This window comes from Homo sapiens, chromosome 5, assembly GCF_000001405.40.
Source record: "Homo sapiens chromosome 5, GRCh38.p14 Primary Assembly".
In the NCBI taxonomy this organism is placed as follows: Eukaryota; Metazoa; Chordata; class Mammalia; order Primates; family Hominidae; genus Homo; species Homo sapiens.
Window position 1 is genome coordinate 36,030,270 of NC_000005.10, and position 12,587 is coordinate 36,042,856.

Here is a 12,587-nt window from a genome sequence, read left to right on the forward strand (position 1 = left end):
CACCCCTGCTACCATATCTTAATACATATGTTTTGACTGATGGGCTGTTCACTCTCAGGTCACGAAAATGTCAACCAAGTGACTGAACTATTAAAGGACCTCTGAGTGGGAACAAAGACTACAACCACTCGCTGCCTAAAAGGGAGAAATATCTGTCACTTGTGTGGATGCTGGGACTACCATGGCAACCCATGAAAAGAATTTATATCATCTTTTTGGATACACTGCAGGACTTCACTCTGACCAAGGAACAGTCTGCTAGTGGGATAGTACCCCTATCTGACTAGGGCAATAAGGACACTAAACACTGCTCTCCAGTGCCAGGGAAGCACAGCCCTGAGAGCATGTCGGGAAACATTAGGCTTGGTGAGTGTGGAGGTGGATCAGGCAGCTGCTTGATTAGGCTACACCTGTGAAATCCCAATAACAGTATTCTCAACCGCTCTTTTTCCTTTCTGCCTTTAGAATGCACCTCCCAGGGGTGGCTTGTGGTTTGGGCCTCCATAGTACCCCAGACAGGGCTCACAAAATCTAAACTGGAGATGATGCTTCCACCTGTTAACTCCCCTATATGGAGTCTCATAGAGTAATGGATAGGACCAAGGAATACCACCATGCACAGGTCCCTCTGTTGGCTCCAGGGACATCTGATCTTTCCAGTCGGGTGAGTGGTGTTTTCAGACATGTCAAGTTTTTACAGGGTGTTTCCTCCCTTTCTGGACTGAAAAACAGAGGCTGACAGGTCTAGGTTAAGCAACAAGGACAGTGGGTGCCAAAGAGGTAGTAGCCTCTGGACTGGGTGCTGCACCAACTGAGCCCAACTCCTATCCAATAAGTAGGGAACACAAGATACTCCAGAAGGTGTGGGGGTGGGGCACCAACCTGTCATTCTATTTTCTCCACAAGGACATGGCAGCAGAGGCCTGGAAGCACAATGCCTTCTTTAGGTCCTCCCAAGCTGTGGTCACTATGGGTGATATGGGTTGGATCTGTGCCCCCACAAAATCTTATGTTAAAATGTAATCCCCATTGTTGGAGGTGCCACCCAGTGGGAGGTATTTGGATGTTGGGGGAAGATCCCTCAAGGCTTGGTGCTGGCCTCGCGATAGTGAGTGAGTTCTCACAAGATCTGGTTGTTGTCGAGTGTGGCGCCTCCCTCCAACCCTCTCACTCCTGCTTTGCTATGTGACGTACCTGCTCTCGCTTCAACTTCTGCCCTGAGTGAAAGCTTCCTGAGGCCTCCCCAGAAGCAGATGTTGATGCCATGTTTCCTGTAAAACCTGCAGAATCATGAGCCAATTACATTTTTTTCTTATAAGTTACCCAGTCTCAGGTATTCCTTCATAGTGATGCAGGAATGGCCTAATACAATGGGTCAACTGATGAAGTGCTGGATCGGCCACCCTAGATCTTATTCTGTCACAGACCACAGTGGCCCTCTCATCCTGCCATGAAAGGGAACCAGAGGTGCCCTGTTTTAACTTAACTGGCCTAAGGTAGCAAAATGTCATGACCACAATTAGTAAAGCCTTGGTGGGCTAATAGTTTAACATACTACTTTCTTTTTTTCTTTTCTTTTCTCTCTTTTCTTCTTTTTTTTTTTAGACGGAGTCTTGCTCTGTCACCCAGGCTGGAGTGCAGTGGCATGATCTCAACTCACTGCAACCTCTGCCTCCTGGGTTCAGGTGATTCTCCTGCCTCAGCCTCGCAAGTAGCTGGGATTACAGGCACCCGCCACCATGCCTGGCTAATTTTGTATTTTTAGTAGAGATGGGATTTCACCATGTTGGCCAGGCTGGTTTTGAACTCCTGACCTCTGGTGATCTACACACCTCAGCCTCCCAAAGTGCTGAGATTACAGGCGTGAGCCACCATGCCTGGCCTGACACACTACTTTTATTTGATTACATGAAAGATAAGTGTCCCAGTGGCAATGACGAAAACAAGGACGGCAATAATGCTAGCCCTTTCTGAAGGGACATTATAAACAATAGTGTAGGGTGAAACTGAGCTCATGCAACTATGACTTAGCTGCAAATGGCTGTGCCTCCATACCCATTAGTAGGCCACTGAACAATAAAATGGGATAAAGGGTGCTATGTACCCCTGATAGCTACATATTTCTTTATGGGCAGTCTGAGGGTGACCCAAAAATGGGATGAGCAATGTCTGTGCCTGGAAATCCAGTGGATGGCTGGGTCCTGCATGCTGGGGGTGCCCCTCCCTATATACCACTCCTGGGAATGAGATTCATCATTGGGCCAACAGCCTAAAGCTGTACACCCAGCCAACTAGAGATATATCAGAAGGTATAAGTGACTCTGGGTTTACATTCTTTTTTTTTTCATTGTTATACTTTAAGTTTTAGGGTACATGTGCACAATGTGCAGTTTTGTTACATATGTATACATGTGCCATGTTGGTGTGCTGCACCCATTAACTCGTCATTTAGCATTAGGTATATCTCCTCATCACAATCTGGGTTTACATTCTTTATGAGATCTTTAATAGCATGAATAGGAGTCAGTACTCCTAAAGAAATAATCATAAGCCTGTCCCTGACCATGGCAGATGTTGCTTCCTTTACTGCCACTGCTTTGGTAGCCCAGCAGACATCCCTCAACTCTCTTGGGAAGATTATTTTAGACAACAGAATCACTCTAGACCGCCTTTTAGCCCAACTAGGAGGAGTGTATGCAACTGCCTACACCTCCTGCTGTACCTGGATAAACAACTCAGGTATTGCTGAAACACAGGTAGAGAAGATCTGATTGCAGACAGTGGGGCCACTGAAAGAACCTTCTCTGAGCCCTTTAGCAACTTCTAACCTAGATCCTGGGGATCCCAGGCTAGGTTACTTAGGTTACTGCCCTGGGCAGGCCTGCTCATCCTCCTTGTGGTAGTAGTCACCTTGGGCATGGTAAAAAGTATTGTAGCTATGGTTTGCAGGTCACAGGAATAATGTAGAATGTGCTGGATCAGCAACATCTGGATATAGGGAGAGTCTGGCTGAAACAGCCAGGGCTCTGTTCCAGTCACCCCAAAACAGGAGGTCTTTCAATACTGTAGCCCAGTATGTCATGCTGTCCCTGAGGTACAAAACCAGGGTGGGCTGCTTCCCTGTGTGCCTCAGCTGTGGTGCAAGTGGGGCACAGGCAGATGAGATGCCATCCACCCTGGGGAAGTCCCTGAGCCTTGGGGGATCAGCTGGCAATGAATCCTGGACTTCTGTTGTCCCTTGCTGCCAATCTATAAATAATAGGTCCACTTCATCTAACTCATATGGGGAGAAATGATCTGTTTCACTATACTCAGAAAAAGTGGGAACCAGTACACAGTGAGCCTGCTTCACAAGCACAATATTTACAGACTCATTAGCACTCCATAAAAACTGGCAGCAGGATTTCAGGAGATAGCTCTGCTACAATCTGGTATTTCATCTCTTGGGAAGCTATGGGTTCTGTGGGTGTTATGTGCTCTTCTTGTTTATCTTTATCACACATGCAGCATTTCATTACATGCAGATTGTGGAGGCCCCAGAAGGGAAAAGTCCCCATGGTGTGCTCTTTCCTCCACCCTGACACCAACCTACACATTTTCTAAAACGTAATGCCAGTCAAAAGGGAGGAGGTTAGCAAAGAGTGGGTAGGCTTCACAAGGAAACAGTAAACATGGATGCTAAGATTAATTCTAACACCTATTAGTAAGCCTAAAGTCTCCATTCTCCCGTACATGTGGGGACACTTTGATGTGGATACATACCTCCTACTCATTAGTACAAAATCCTTTGCACCATCCAGGCATGGTGGCTCACACCTGTAATCCCAGTACTTTGGGAGGCCGAGGCAGGGCGGATCACCTGAGGTAGGAAGCTCAAGACCAGCCTGACCAACATGGAGAAACCCCATCTCTACTAAAAATACAAAATTAGCTGGGCGTGGTGGCGCACGCTTGTAATCCCAGCTACTCGGGAGGCTGAGGCAGGAGAATAGCTTGAACCCGGGAGGCAGAGGTTGTGGTGAGCTGAGATCGTGCCATTCCACTCCACTCCAGCCTGGACAACAAGAGCGAAACTCCACCCCATCCTGGACAACAAGAGCGAAAAAAAAAAATTCCTTTGCACTGAGGACTTCAGAGCCACACTGACTGAAAAGAGTCAATTTGCAAATCATATTTTCTACACAACACTAAATAGGGTGTCTTTTACTCTTCTTATATTACTTAGGGTTTAGTGCCCACTGGTTTGTGGTAATGGTCTCTCAAGGAAAAACATGCAGTCCTGTCCTTGGAAACACAGCTACAATTGCATTCCCCCTTCTCATCCACATGGAGCTGGGGCTCTATGATTGAAATCATCTGCTCTGGCTGCCTACCTCAGCATCCCCAACACACTTAGAAAGTCATTGAAGCCAATTCAGTGCTTCCTCAGGTCCAGCCAGAGACTGTAACCAGGAAACAGAAGTGTTTCTTTATCAGCATGCCCATGATAGCTTGCTGCTTAGGTTGCATGAATATAGGCCAAGACTAAATAGCAAAACATTCTGGTTCAACAGGTCAAGCATTCTGGAGGATTTTTGGCCACTTTTCTCTTTCTTCAGACCCCACAGGTTAGCTAACCCTCCACCCACTTCCCGCTGCCTTCATCCTGGCCAGCTGCCAGTGCAAACTTGCCCCATTCCCCGATAGCCTTGAGTAGCCAGATGACAGAATTCTGGGCAATTAGGACAGAAATCTCTTGGCCAATCATTTAGTGAGGTTGGGGAGAGATAACGCTGTAAACTTTTATTTTTCAGGAAATCTGGAAACCTACAGTCTCCAAGCCTGCTCAGCCAAGAAGGAGCTCACTGTGGGCACCAGAGACAGGGACCCAATGTGGAGACCTGTGAGCCTGTGTCCGGCCCTGAACTCTCAAGCACAGGGCAGGCTTCCTGAGCATTGAAGAGAATATGTGGGAGAACAAAACAGAAACTGAAAGAATATGCAAGGTGTCTTTCTTGGATGTTATTCCATGATAGATAGTAGGGGCAGGAGTGAGAGAGGCTGACTAGGTCTGGACATGGAGGCTGGAAGAGTCAGGGTGTGATTCGGAGAGGCGCATGAGAAGGAAGGTGGATTTTAAGGCTGGAAATCTGAGGGTCAGTGGTCCAAGTCACTCAGAGACAGAATCACAGCATAGCCCTTGCTGATGGCAAACAAAGGAGGACAAGAGGACTGGAAAGAATTCTGCTAGCAGGCAGGAGCTAGTAAGGATGAATTTGTAGCAAAATTAGCAAGTGGAAAGGATGATTTTTGGCCATTTTTCCTGTTCTTCAAGAAAACAGGAGATAACTAGAAGGACTAGAGAATGGGGCTGCCAGAACTAGTGGGAAGCTCCCTAGAAATGGTGACATCGCCCACCAAACAGACCCCGCCAAGGCTGCACCTGGCCTTATGTCTCCTTCACCTTTCTGGCCCCACGCAGCCACCAGACAGCCATGCCCAGCAGCTTCCCACAAAGCCATAGAGTCCCCAGAGTGAGCCCCAGCAGAAACACAAAAACGTCGAGCAGGTACTGCTCATGCCAGGGCTGCTGAAAGACATAGGGCTTGAGGTGCGTCGCGCCCCCTGTCTGGAGGACGTGGTCAATCCAGCCCACCAGCCGCTGTGTGGGGCTGAGCGGGTGGGAGCGCAGGATGACACTGGCAGCCACTGCCGCGGACTTGTATCTGTTGAGAGAGATAGAGAGGGGGCATTACTAATGTGACCTCACAAGAGTTAGAATGTATGATCCGTTCTATATGATGCACCAAAGACTGAGTTCCAAGGAAATTCTGTTGGCTTTGCAGTAATCTACCTGGTTCCCCTTGAAATTTAATCATGACACCTACAAGCAAAGATCCATGTATAATGCTAAAAGTCTTAAACTTAAAAAAAGTGACTAAGTCCACAAAGACTAGTCCCTACTCCAAGGAGGCTTATGATGTGCCCTAGGAAAATTATATATGATGTAATTATTATACATATACATGGAGCACCTCCATGTGCCAGTCTCTAGATGGGGTGACAAGTCTCACTCTGGGGAATGTTAGGCACAGGCTAAAGCCTACACATTCCTGCACCATCAGAACATGATGTTGACCAGGGCTGGCTTCCTGGGCTGCAGGCTGCATATTTGTACCACATAATTAGTAGCATCCTGTACTTGGTTTCACCATGTCGAAGTTCTCAAACTTTATAATAAGAGGCTCCACACTTTTATTTTACACCAGGTCCTACAAATTGTGAAGCTGGCCCTATTTATGTACAATGTCTGAGGACCATCCCAGCTCAGAATGGTCATTTTGGGTCTAGGTCATTGAAAAATCCAACGAAAGCTACAAACACATTTTTCAGAAAATGACCAACTGCAATACATGAAATTGCAAATATATAAAATTGATCTGGAGTTAACCAACCCATGGAATTTAATGACTCTTCTAAGTCTAAGAACCATGAGCTACGTGGTTGTTTTAAGTCATCTAGCTAGAACTGCTGAGTGTCTCCTAGTACATGTTAAGCCTTGAGGTCCGATTTTGGTTTGTGCCCTTGAAACTCTAATAAATTATTCAGTCCTTTTTACTTATTACATGAGGTGTATTTTTCTCTTCACATGAGATCACTGTGCTGGATATGCAGTTAGTTACCTTGGAGGTCACTGGGCCCCTTCTATTGCTTCACTTAACTAAAATTCATTAACCATTTACTTTGTGGCAGATCCTGTGCTAGGTGCTAAGAAGATAGCAGAAAACAAGAGACACATGCTGCTGTCCTCATTAAGCTAACTCTCCACTCTCTGGTTGGAAGGTGAGGGGGACAAATAATAAATGAAAACACAAGCTGCGCATGGTGGCTTATGTAATCCCAGCTACTCGGGAGGCTGAATCAGGAGGATCATTTGAGCCCAGGAGTTTGAGACCAGCCTGGGCAACATAAAGAGACTGTAAACAAACAAACACATAAATAAATGAGGTAATTACAGACCTTAAGAAGTGTTAAGAAGGAAATGATGTAACTGGGGTAGGTGGGAGAAGAAGTTACTCAGGACTGTCAGAGGCGAACTCTAAGAAGAAATGAGTTGGAGATGAGACCGGAATGCAACAAAGGAGCCAGTATGTGAAGAGGGAGCACCACAAACAAAAAGCCAAGGGGGAGAAGAGTGCGGAGTATTTGGGTAACAGAAAGGCAATCTCCTGCCTCAGTTGGAATCCCGCTGACCTGAATTCCAATTGACCTGAAACATAGCTCACAGAGACCCCCTGTACATAGTCCAGGTTCCCCAAAATGAAAAGGTAGGAAGTGATTCTTAGCATCTAACTTAAATGCTCTAGTCTTGCTCTCAGAGGACACAGGTCAGCTGTTGGCATCACACACATATTATCCCATGTCCTGGAAAATACAGTTTTAATCTAAAGCAAAACAAAACAAAACCAAAAAAACAGACTCCCATAGTGCCCTTAGTGTTTTTGCCTTCATTCGTCATTATGACCACAACCCCAAGGAGCTGCATACCTCTTGTCTTCCATGATTTGTTTCATCTTAAGAGCCAATGTCTCTGCCTTGAGCTTCTTTAACTGAATAGAAACACCAAACTTTTTGGCTTCTACTCGGACCATGTTTTCAGGCTGGTCTCCAAAGAGAGGGATCCCCACCATGGGCACACCATGCTGGATGGCCTCCATTATGCTATTCTGCCCGCCGTGGGTGACAAACAGACGGATGCTTGGGTGAGCTGTTGTAAATAAGAAAGAGGGTGGGACACTTCAGGATGAAAATTTCAAAACATCAGGCAGAGATGAAGGGGATAAGAAAGTGCCAAGGGGATCTAGTGGTGTGTTGGAGACATTGTATCTAATGACTGTGCTTGGGACACATCCAATGTTACAGTTCCAAGATACAAGATTCCAAGCGTTGCTATCGTATGGAAACATCTTCCCTCAGCCAGAAATTCAGCTAAGGCTTAGAATTGAGTGAATTCTGTAGAGAAGAGTGCTAAGCAAGGCATACATCTCTCTGTCCATCCATTCTTCCTTCTCTCTGTCCTCCCTGTGCCTTTCTTTGCTTCTCTCATCTGTATTCTGTGTGTCTCTCTGTTTCTACCTCCTCTGTCTGCCTATATTGAGCCCTCTTTTATCCACTGACAGCTGATTTCCCTTTTCTTGTATTCCTGACATATTTGTTGACATCACAACTCATATGTCACTCATAAAACTTGTATTGACCGTATGGTGTCCTCAATTATAAGAGAAGTGCCTTGAAAGTAGACTGGATCCTTCGCCTCTGTATTTCCAGTTCCTGTCTTTCCATGCCAGCGTTACTTAGAGCTAACTAAAGTGATGGTTGATAATGACAAGCACATCTCAACCTGGGTCACTCAACTGCAATGTGCATCAGACTCCTTGTCTCTTCTTTGAAATGGGAGGCATATGCCCTACCCCAGAATTTTAAAAAATATATTCACAGAAGTAGGACCAGGAATCTACTTCTTAAATTGCCCAGATTCTTTTCAGCCATGATCTTCGTTGTGAATCTCTGCTCTAGTCAGTGTCTATGGCAGCACAGAGCACAGAGAAAACCTGTTGGGGGTGAGGGAGCTCTCTGGTCCCAGACAACTCGGTAGACCAAATCACCAACTGTGAAGTTGCTAAGCTTGGCACACAGGTATGTTGGCACATCCTAAAGACATCATTGGCATTAATCTTGTGATGGTAGAAGTTGCTCAGACCCTTAGTAAATTAAGAGGATGTGTCCATATTTATGTGTGGATGTGTGTTTGTGTAAGTCCATGTGGTTGAACTGGTGCTCACAAAGTAACTAAAATTTGTGGCACCTCTCCCAACCCCTAGTATATACATTCAGAGTTGATAGGTTGTCTTTAATTTTGTTTGGGTGACCTTGTCCAAGACCAAATGCAGTAGGGTTAAAGAGACTTGACAGGAATATCACATAGGACTGCAGACATCAGGTCTGGGATAGAAAAGAATGAAGGAAAGTTGGCTGCTTTGGCATCTGATCCCATTGGAAGTATAGCCTGGTTTCCCAAGAACTCCAGCTGGCTGCTACTTTTCTGCCCACTGAGCCTTACCTGTACCATTCACCAGTGGGTACAAATGTCCAGCTAAAGGTCAGAGCCGTGATGAGCCCCAAAGACAGGTCAGTGGAAGGAGAGGAGCAGTCCTGGGCAGCCCTTACCCAGGAGGTCACTCTGAGGAAGCCAGTCCACAATTTTCACATTTGCAGCCAGGTGGACATCTTTGGGCCAATGAGAACACTGACACTTCCATATCACCCCTTGGGGTAGGTGAGCAAAGGCATTGTTCATCTCCTTGAAGATTTCCGGATTCTGACAGGTGTTCACCATGGAGCCCAAGGTCACAAGGACAAAACCAGAGTCCCCAAACTTGGCAATGAAGTTCTCCAAGTCCTGGAGAAAGATTACCAAGGTAAAGAGGTGACAAAATTATTGGTGAAAGCCTAGTTGACCAGAAAATGAAAGCCAGAGTATTTACTAACACAGTGCCCTGTCCTCACTGTCCCAAAGCTATTATTATAGCTCCTAGTATAGCTCGATACTAGCTGCACTGTGGTCATGTCCTTTGTGTTGGTGGGAACATCTTTCTTCTTGAAACCCTGACCCTACTATCAGGCCTTTCTTGACCTTCCACCCATTATAGGTCCAGGGAGTCACAGGAGTTTTCTAAGGTCAGACTAGAGGTAATAGTATCTGGAAGAGTACTAGTAGGTGGCCAGGGTCCAACACAAGGAGTGGGACTTCTGGAGGCTGGAATGGAGATGCTGGGAGAACACTTCTGTTGCAGGCAGAAATGGTGGCAGCATAGGGTAAGGCTCCTCTTCATCTACACAAAATGTACCCTTTCAGTGTGTTTTCCTCTAATGTTTTATGATAGTCTCGGTCACTGATCTTTTTGTACACGCTTCATCCTCTACCTCAGTAGTTCACCCACAGGACTGCAAATTATAACCACAGAAAAATATATTTTAAAAGCAGCAATGCCATAGGGAGGTGGAGCAAGATGGCAGAATAGAACCCTGAAGTGATTTTGCCCCCCGAAGGAATACCAAATTAACAACTATCCACAAGAAAACACCTTCATAAGAACAAAAAAAAATGAGGTGAGCAATCACCATTCCTGGTTTTAACATCATACCGAGGAAAAAGGCACTGAGAAGGTAGGAAAGACAGTCTTCAATTACCATGTGGTGCAGAGACAGAATCTGTGTGCTTAGGGGAGGCAGAGCACAGTGACTATAGACTTTGCAGTGGAAGTCAGTGCTCTGCAGTCACAGAGCAAAGCAACACAGGGAAGAATTCAGCTGGCACCCATGCAGGGAGCATTTAGACCAGCCCTTGCTAGAATGGAATCATCCACCTCAGCAGTAGGAACCTCAGTGCTGGTTAGACCAAGCACCGCAGGCTAAAGTGCTCTGGGGTTCAAAATAAACTTGAAAGGCAATCTAGGCCACAAGAACTAAAATCCCTGGAGTGCACATGACCTGGTGAGACACCAGCCAGGGCAGCCAAGGGAGTGCTGGTGTCACCCCTCCCCCAACTCCAGGCAGGGCAGCTCAGAGCTCCAGGAGAGACTCCTTCCTCCAGGAGAGGAGAGGGAAGAGTTAAAAAGTCTTTGTCTTGCAATGTGGGTACTAGTTTAGCTGCAGTAAAATTAAGCACCAAGGAGAATCCTAACATCTCCACATCTAGGCCTTAGCTCCTGGACAACATTGCTAGACATGCCCTGGGTCAGAAGAGAACCTGCTGCCCTGAAGGGAGAGACCTAAGCCTGGCAGGATTCACCACCTGCTAATTCAAAAGCCCTCGGGCCTAAAATAAACATCAGCAGTAGCCAGGCAGTACTTCTCACAGGCTTGGGGTGGGGTGGCCATGGGCGAGACTCCTGCTTTAGGAAGGGAGGGAATAGAGTAAGTAGATCCCTACAATTCCCAATTCCAGGACCCAGTTCCTGGACAGAATTCCTAGACCCAACCTGGGACAGAAGGAAACCTGCTGCCCTAAAGGGAAAGGTAGAGGCTTGAAAGAATTCAGCACCTGTTGACTAAAGAGCTCTTGAGCCTTGAATAAACATCAGCAGTAACCAGACAATAGTTATCATAGGTCTTGGATGAGGTCCAGTGCTGTGTTGGTTTCAAGTGTAATCCAGCACAATTTCAGGGGAGGTGGTCATGAGAGTGTTTGTGTCACCCCTCCCCCAACTCCAGGCAGCTTAGCACAGGGAGAGAGAGAAACTCTGTTGGTATATGGGAAAGTAAGGGAAGAGAACCAGACTCTGCCTGGTAATCCAAGGAATTCTCCTGGCTCTTACCTAAGACCACCAAGGTGGTACTTCTACAAGGCTGCAAGAGTCAGCATGACTGGGCTTGGAGTGCCCCCTAATGCAGACACAGGTGCAGTGACCAAAGACTTAGATCACAACACTCAATTCCCTTTGCACACTTGGAAAGCTTTCTCAAGAAGGACAGGTACAAACAAGCCCAGACTGCAAAGATTAGAATAAATACTTAACTCTTCAATGCCCAGACATTGATGAACAAGTTACAAGCATCAAGACCATCCAGGAAAACATGACTTCACCCAACGAACCAAATAAGGCACCAGCAACTAATCCTGGAGACACAGAAAAATGTGACCTTTCAGACACGGAATTCAAAATAACCGTTTTGAGGAAGCTCAGTGACATTCAAGATAACACAGAGAAGAAATTCAGAATCCTATCAGCTAAATTTAGCAAAGAGATTGAAAGAATTAAAAACAAAAAAGTAGAAATTCTGGAGTTGAAAATGCATTTGACATAACGAAGAATGCCTCAGAGTCTCTTAACAGAAGAATTGATCAAGCAGAAGAAAGAATAAGTGAGCTTCGACAATATAATAAGATATAAATAGAACCAACAAAAACTTAGCGGACTGGGAGATAAAGTGTAGAATTTTTATTACTGTTCTTTTTTGCTTAATTGTTTGTTTCTTTTTGCAATCAAAGTTAAGTTGTCATCAGATTAAAATAATGGGTTATAAGATGTTACTTGCAAGCCTTGTAGTAACCTCAAATCACAAAACTTAAAACAGATACACAAAAAATAAAATTCAAGAAATTAAAACATACCACCAGAGAAAATCATTTTCACTAAAAGGAAGACAAGAAGAAAGGAAAGAAGAAAGAGAAGATCACAACACAACCAGAAAACAAATAACAAAATGACAGGAGTAAGTCCTTACTTACAAATAATAACATTGAATGTAAACAGACTAAACTCTCCAATCAAAACAGAAAGAGTGATTGAATGAATAAAAAAAGAGACTTAACATGTTGCCTCCAAGAAACACACTGCCTATAAAAACACACATAGACTGAAAATAAAGGGATAGGAAAAGATATTCCATGAAAGTGGAAACCAAGAAAAAAGAAGGAGTAGCTATACTTACATCAGATAAAATAGATATCAAGACAAATACCATGAAAAGAGACAAAGAAGGTTATTATATAATTTTATAAAGGTTGATTCAGCAAGCACATATAACAATTATAAATATATAGG

General features: G+C 45.2%; 1 protein-coding gene across 4 annotated transcripts in view, besides 1 other annotated feature; it reads right to left on the bottom strand.

Annotated features, from left to right (window-relative positions):
* Nucleotides 1-4,751: 4,751 nt before the first annotated feature.
* Nucleotides 4,752-12,587, bottom strand: part of UGT3A2 (UDP glycosyltransferase family 3 member A2) — a 31,862-nt gene continuing 24,026 nt past the window's right edge. For all 4 annotated transcript variants that reach the window (NR_031764.2, NM_001168316.2, NM_174914.4 and 1 more), the window contains 3 exons: nucleotides 9,208-9,439; nucleotides 7,528-7,747; nucleotides 4,752-5,705 (listed from right to left, as the gene is read on the bottom strand). Coding sequence is in view for 3 of the 4 variants with exons in the window: in NM_001168316.2 (NP_001161788.1) it covers nucleotides 5,429-5,705; nucleotides 7,528-7,747; nucleotides 9,208-9,439 (729 nt within the window). In the remaining variant the exon portion in view is untranslated. The remainder of the gene's footprint in view (nucleotides 5,706-7,527; nucleotides 7,748-9,207; nucleotides 9,440-12,587) is intronic.
* Nucleotides 10,494-10,994: an enhancer, noted in NCBI's record as "H3K27ac hESC enhancer chr5:36040865-36041365 (GRCh37/hg19 assembly coordinates)". NCBI's record gives its function as "activates a minimal SCP1, AML or CMV promoter by ChIP-STARR-seq in primed H9 embryonic stem cells {active_cell/tissue: H9 hESC(primed)}" and the evidence as "EXISTENCE:reporter gene assay evidence [ECO:0000049][PMID:30033119]".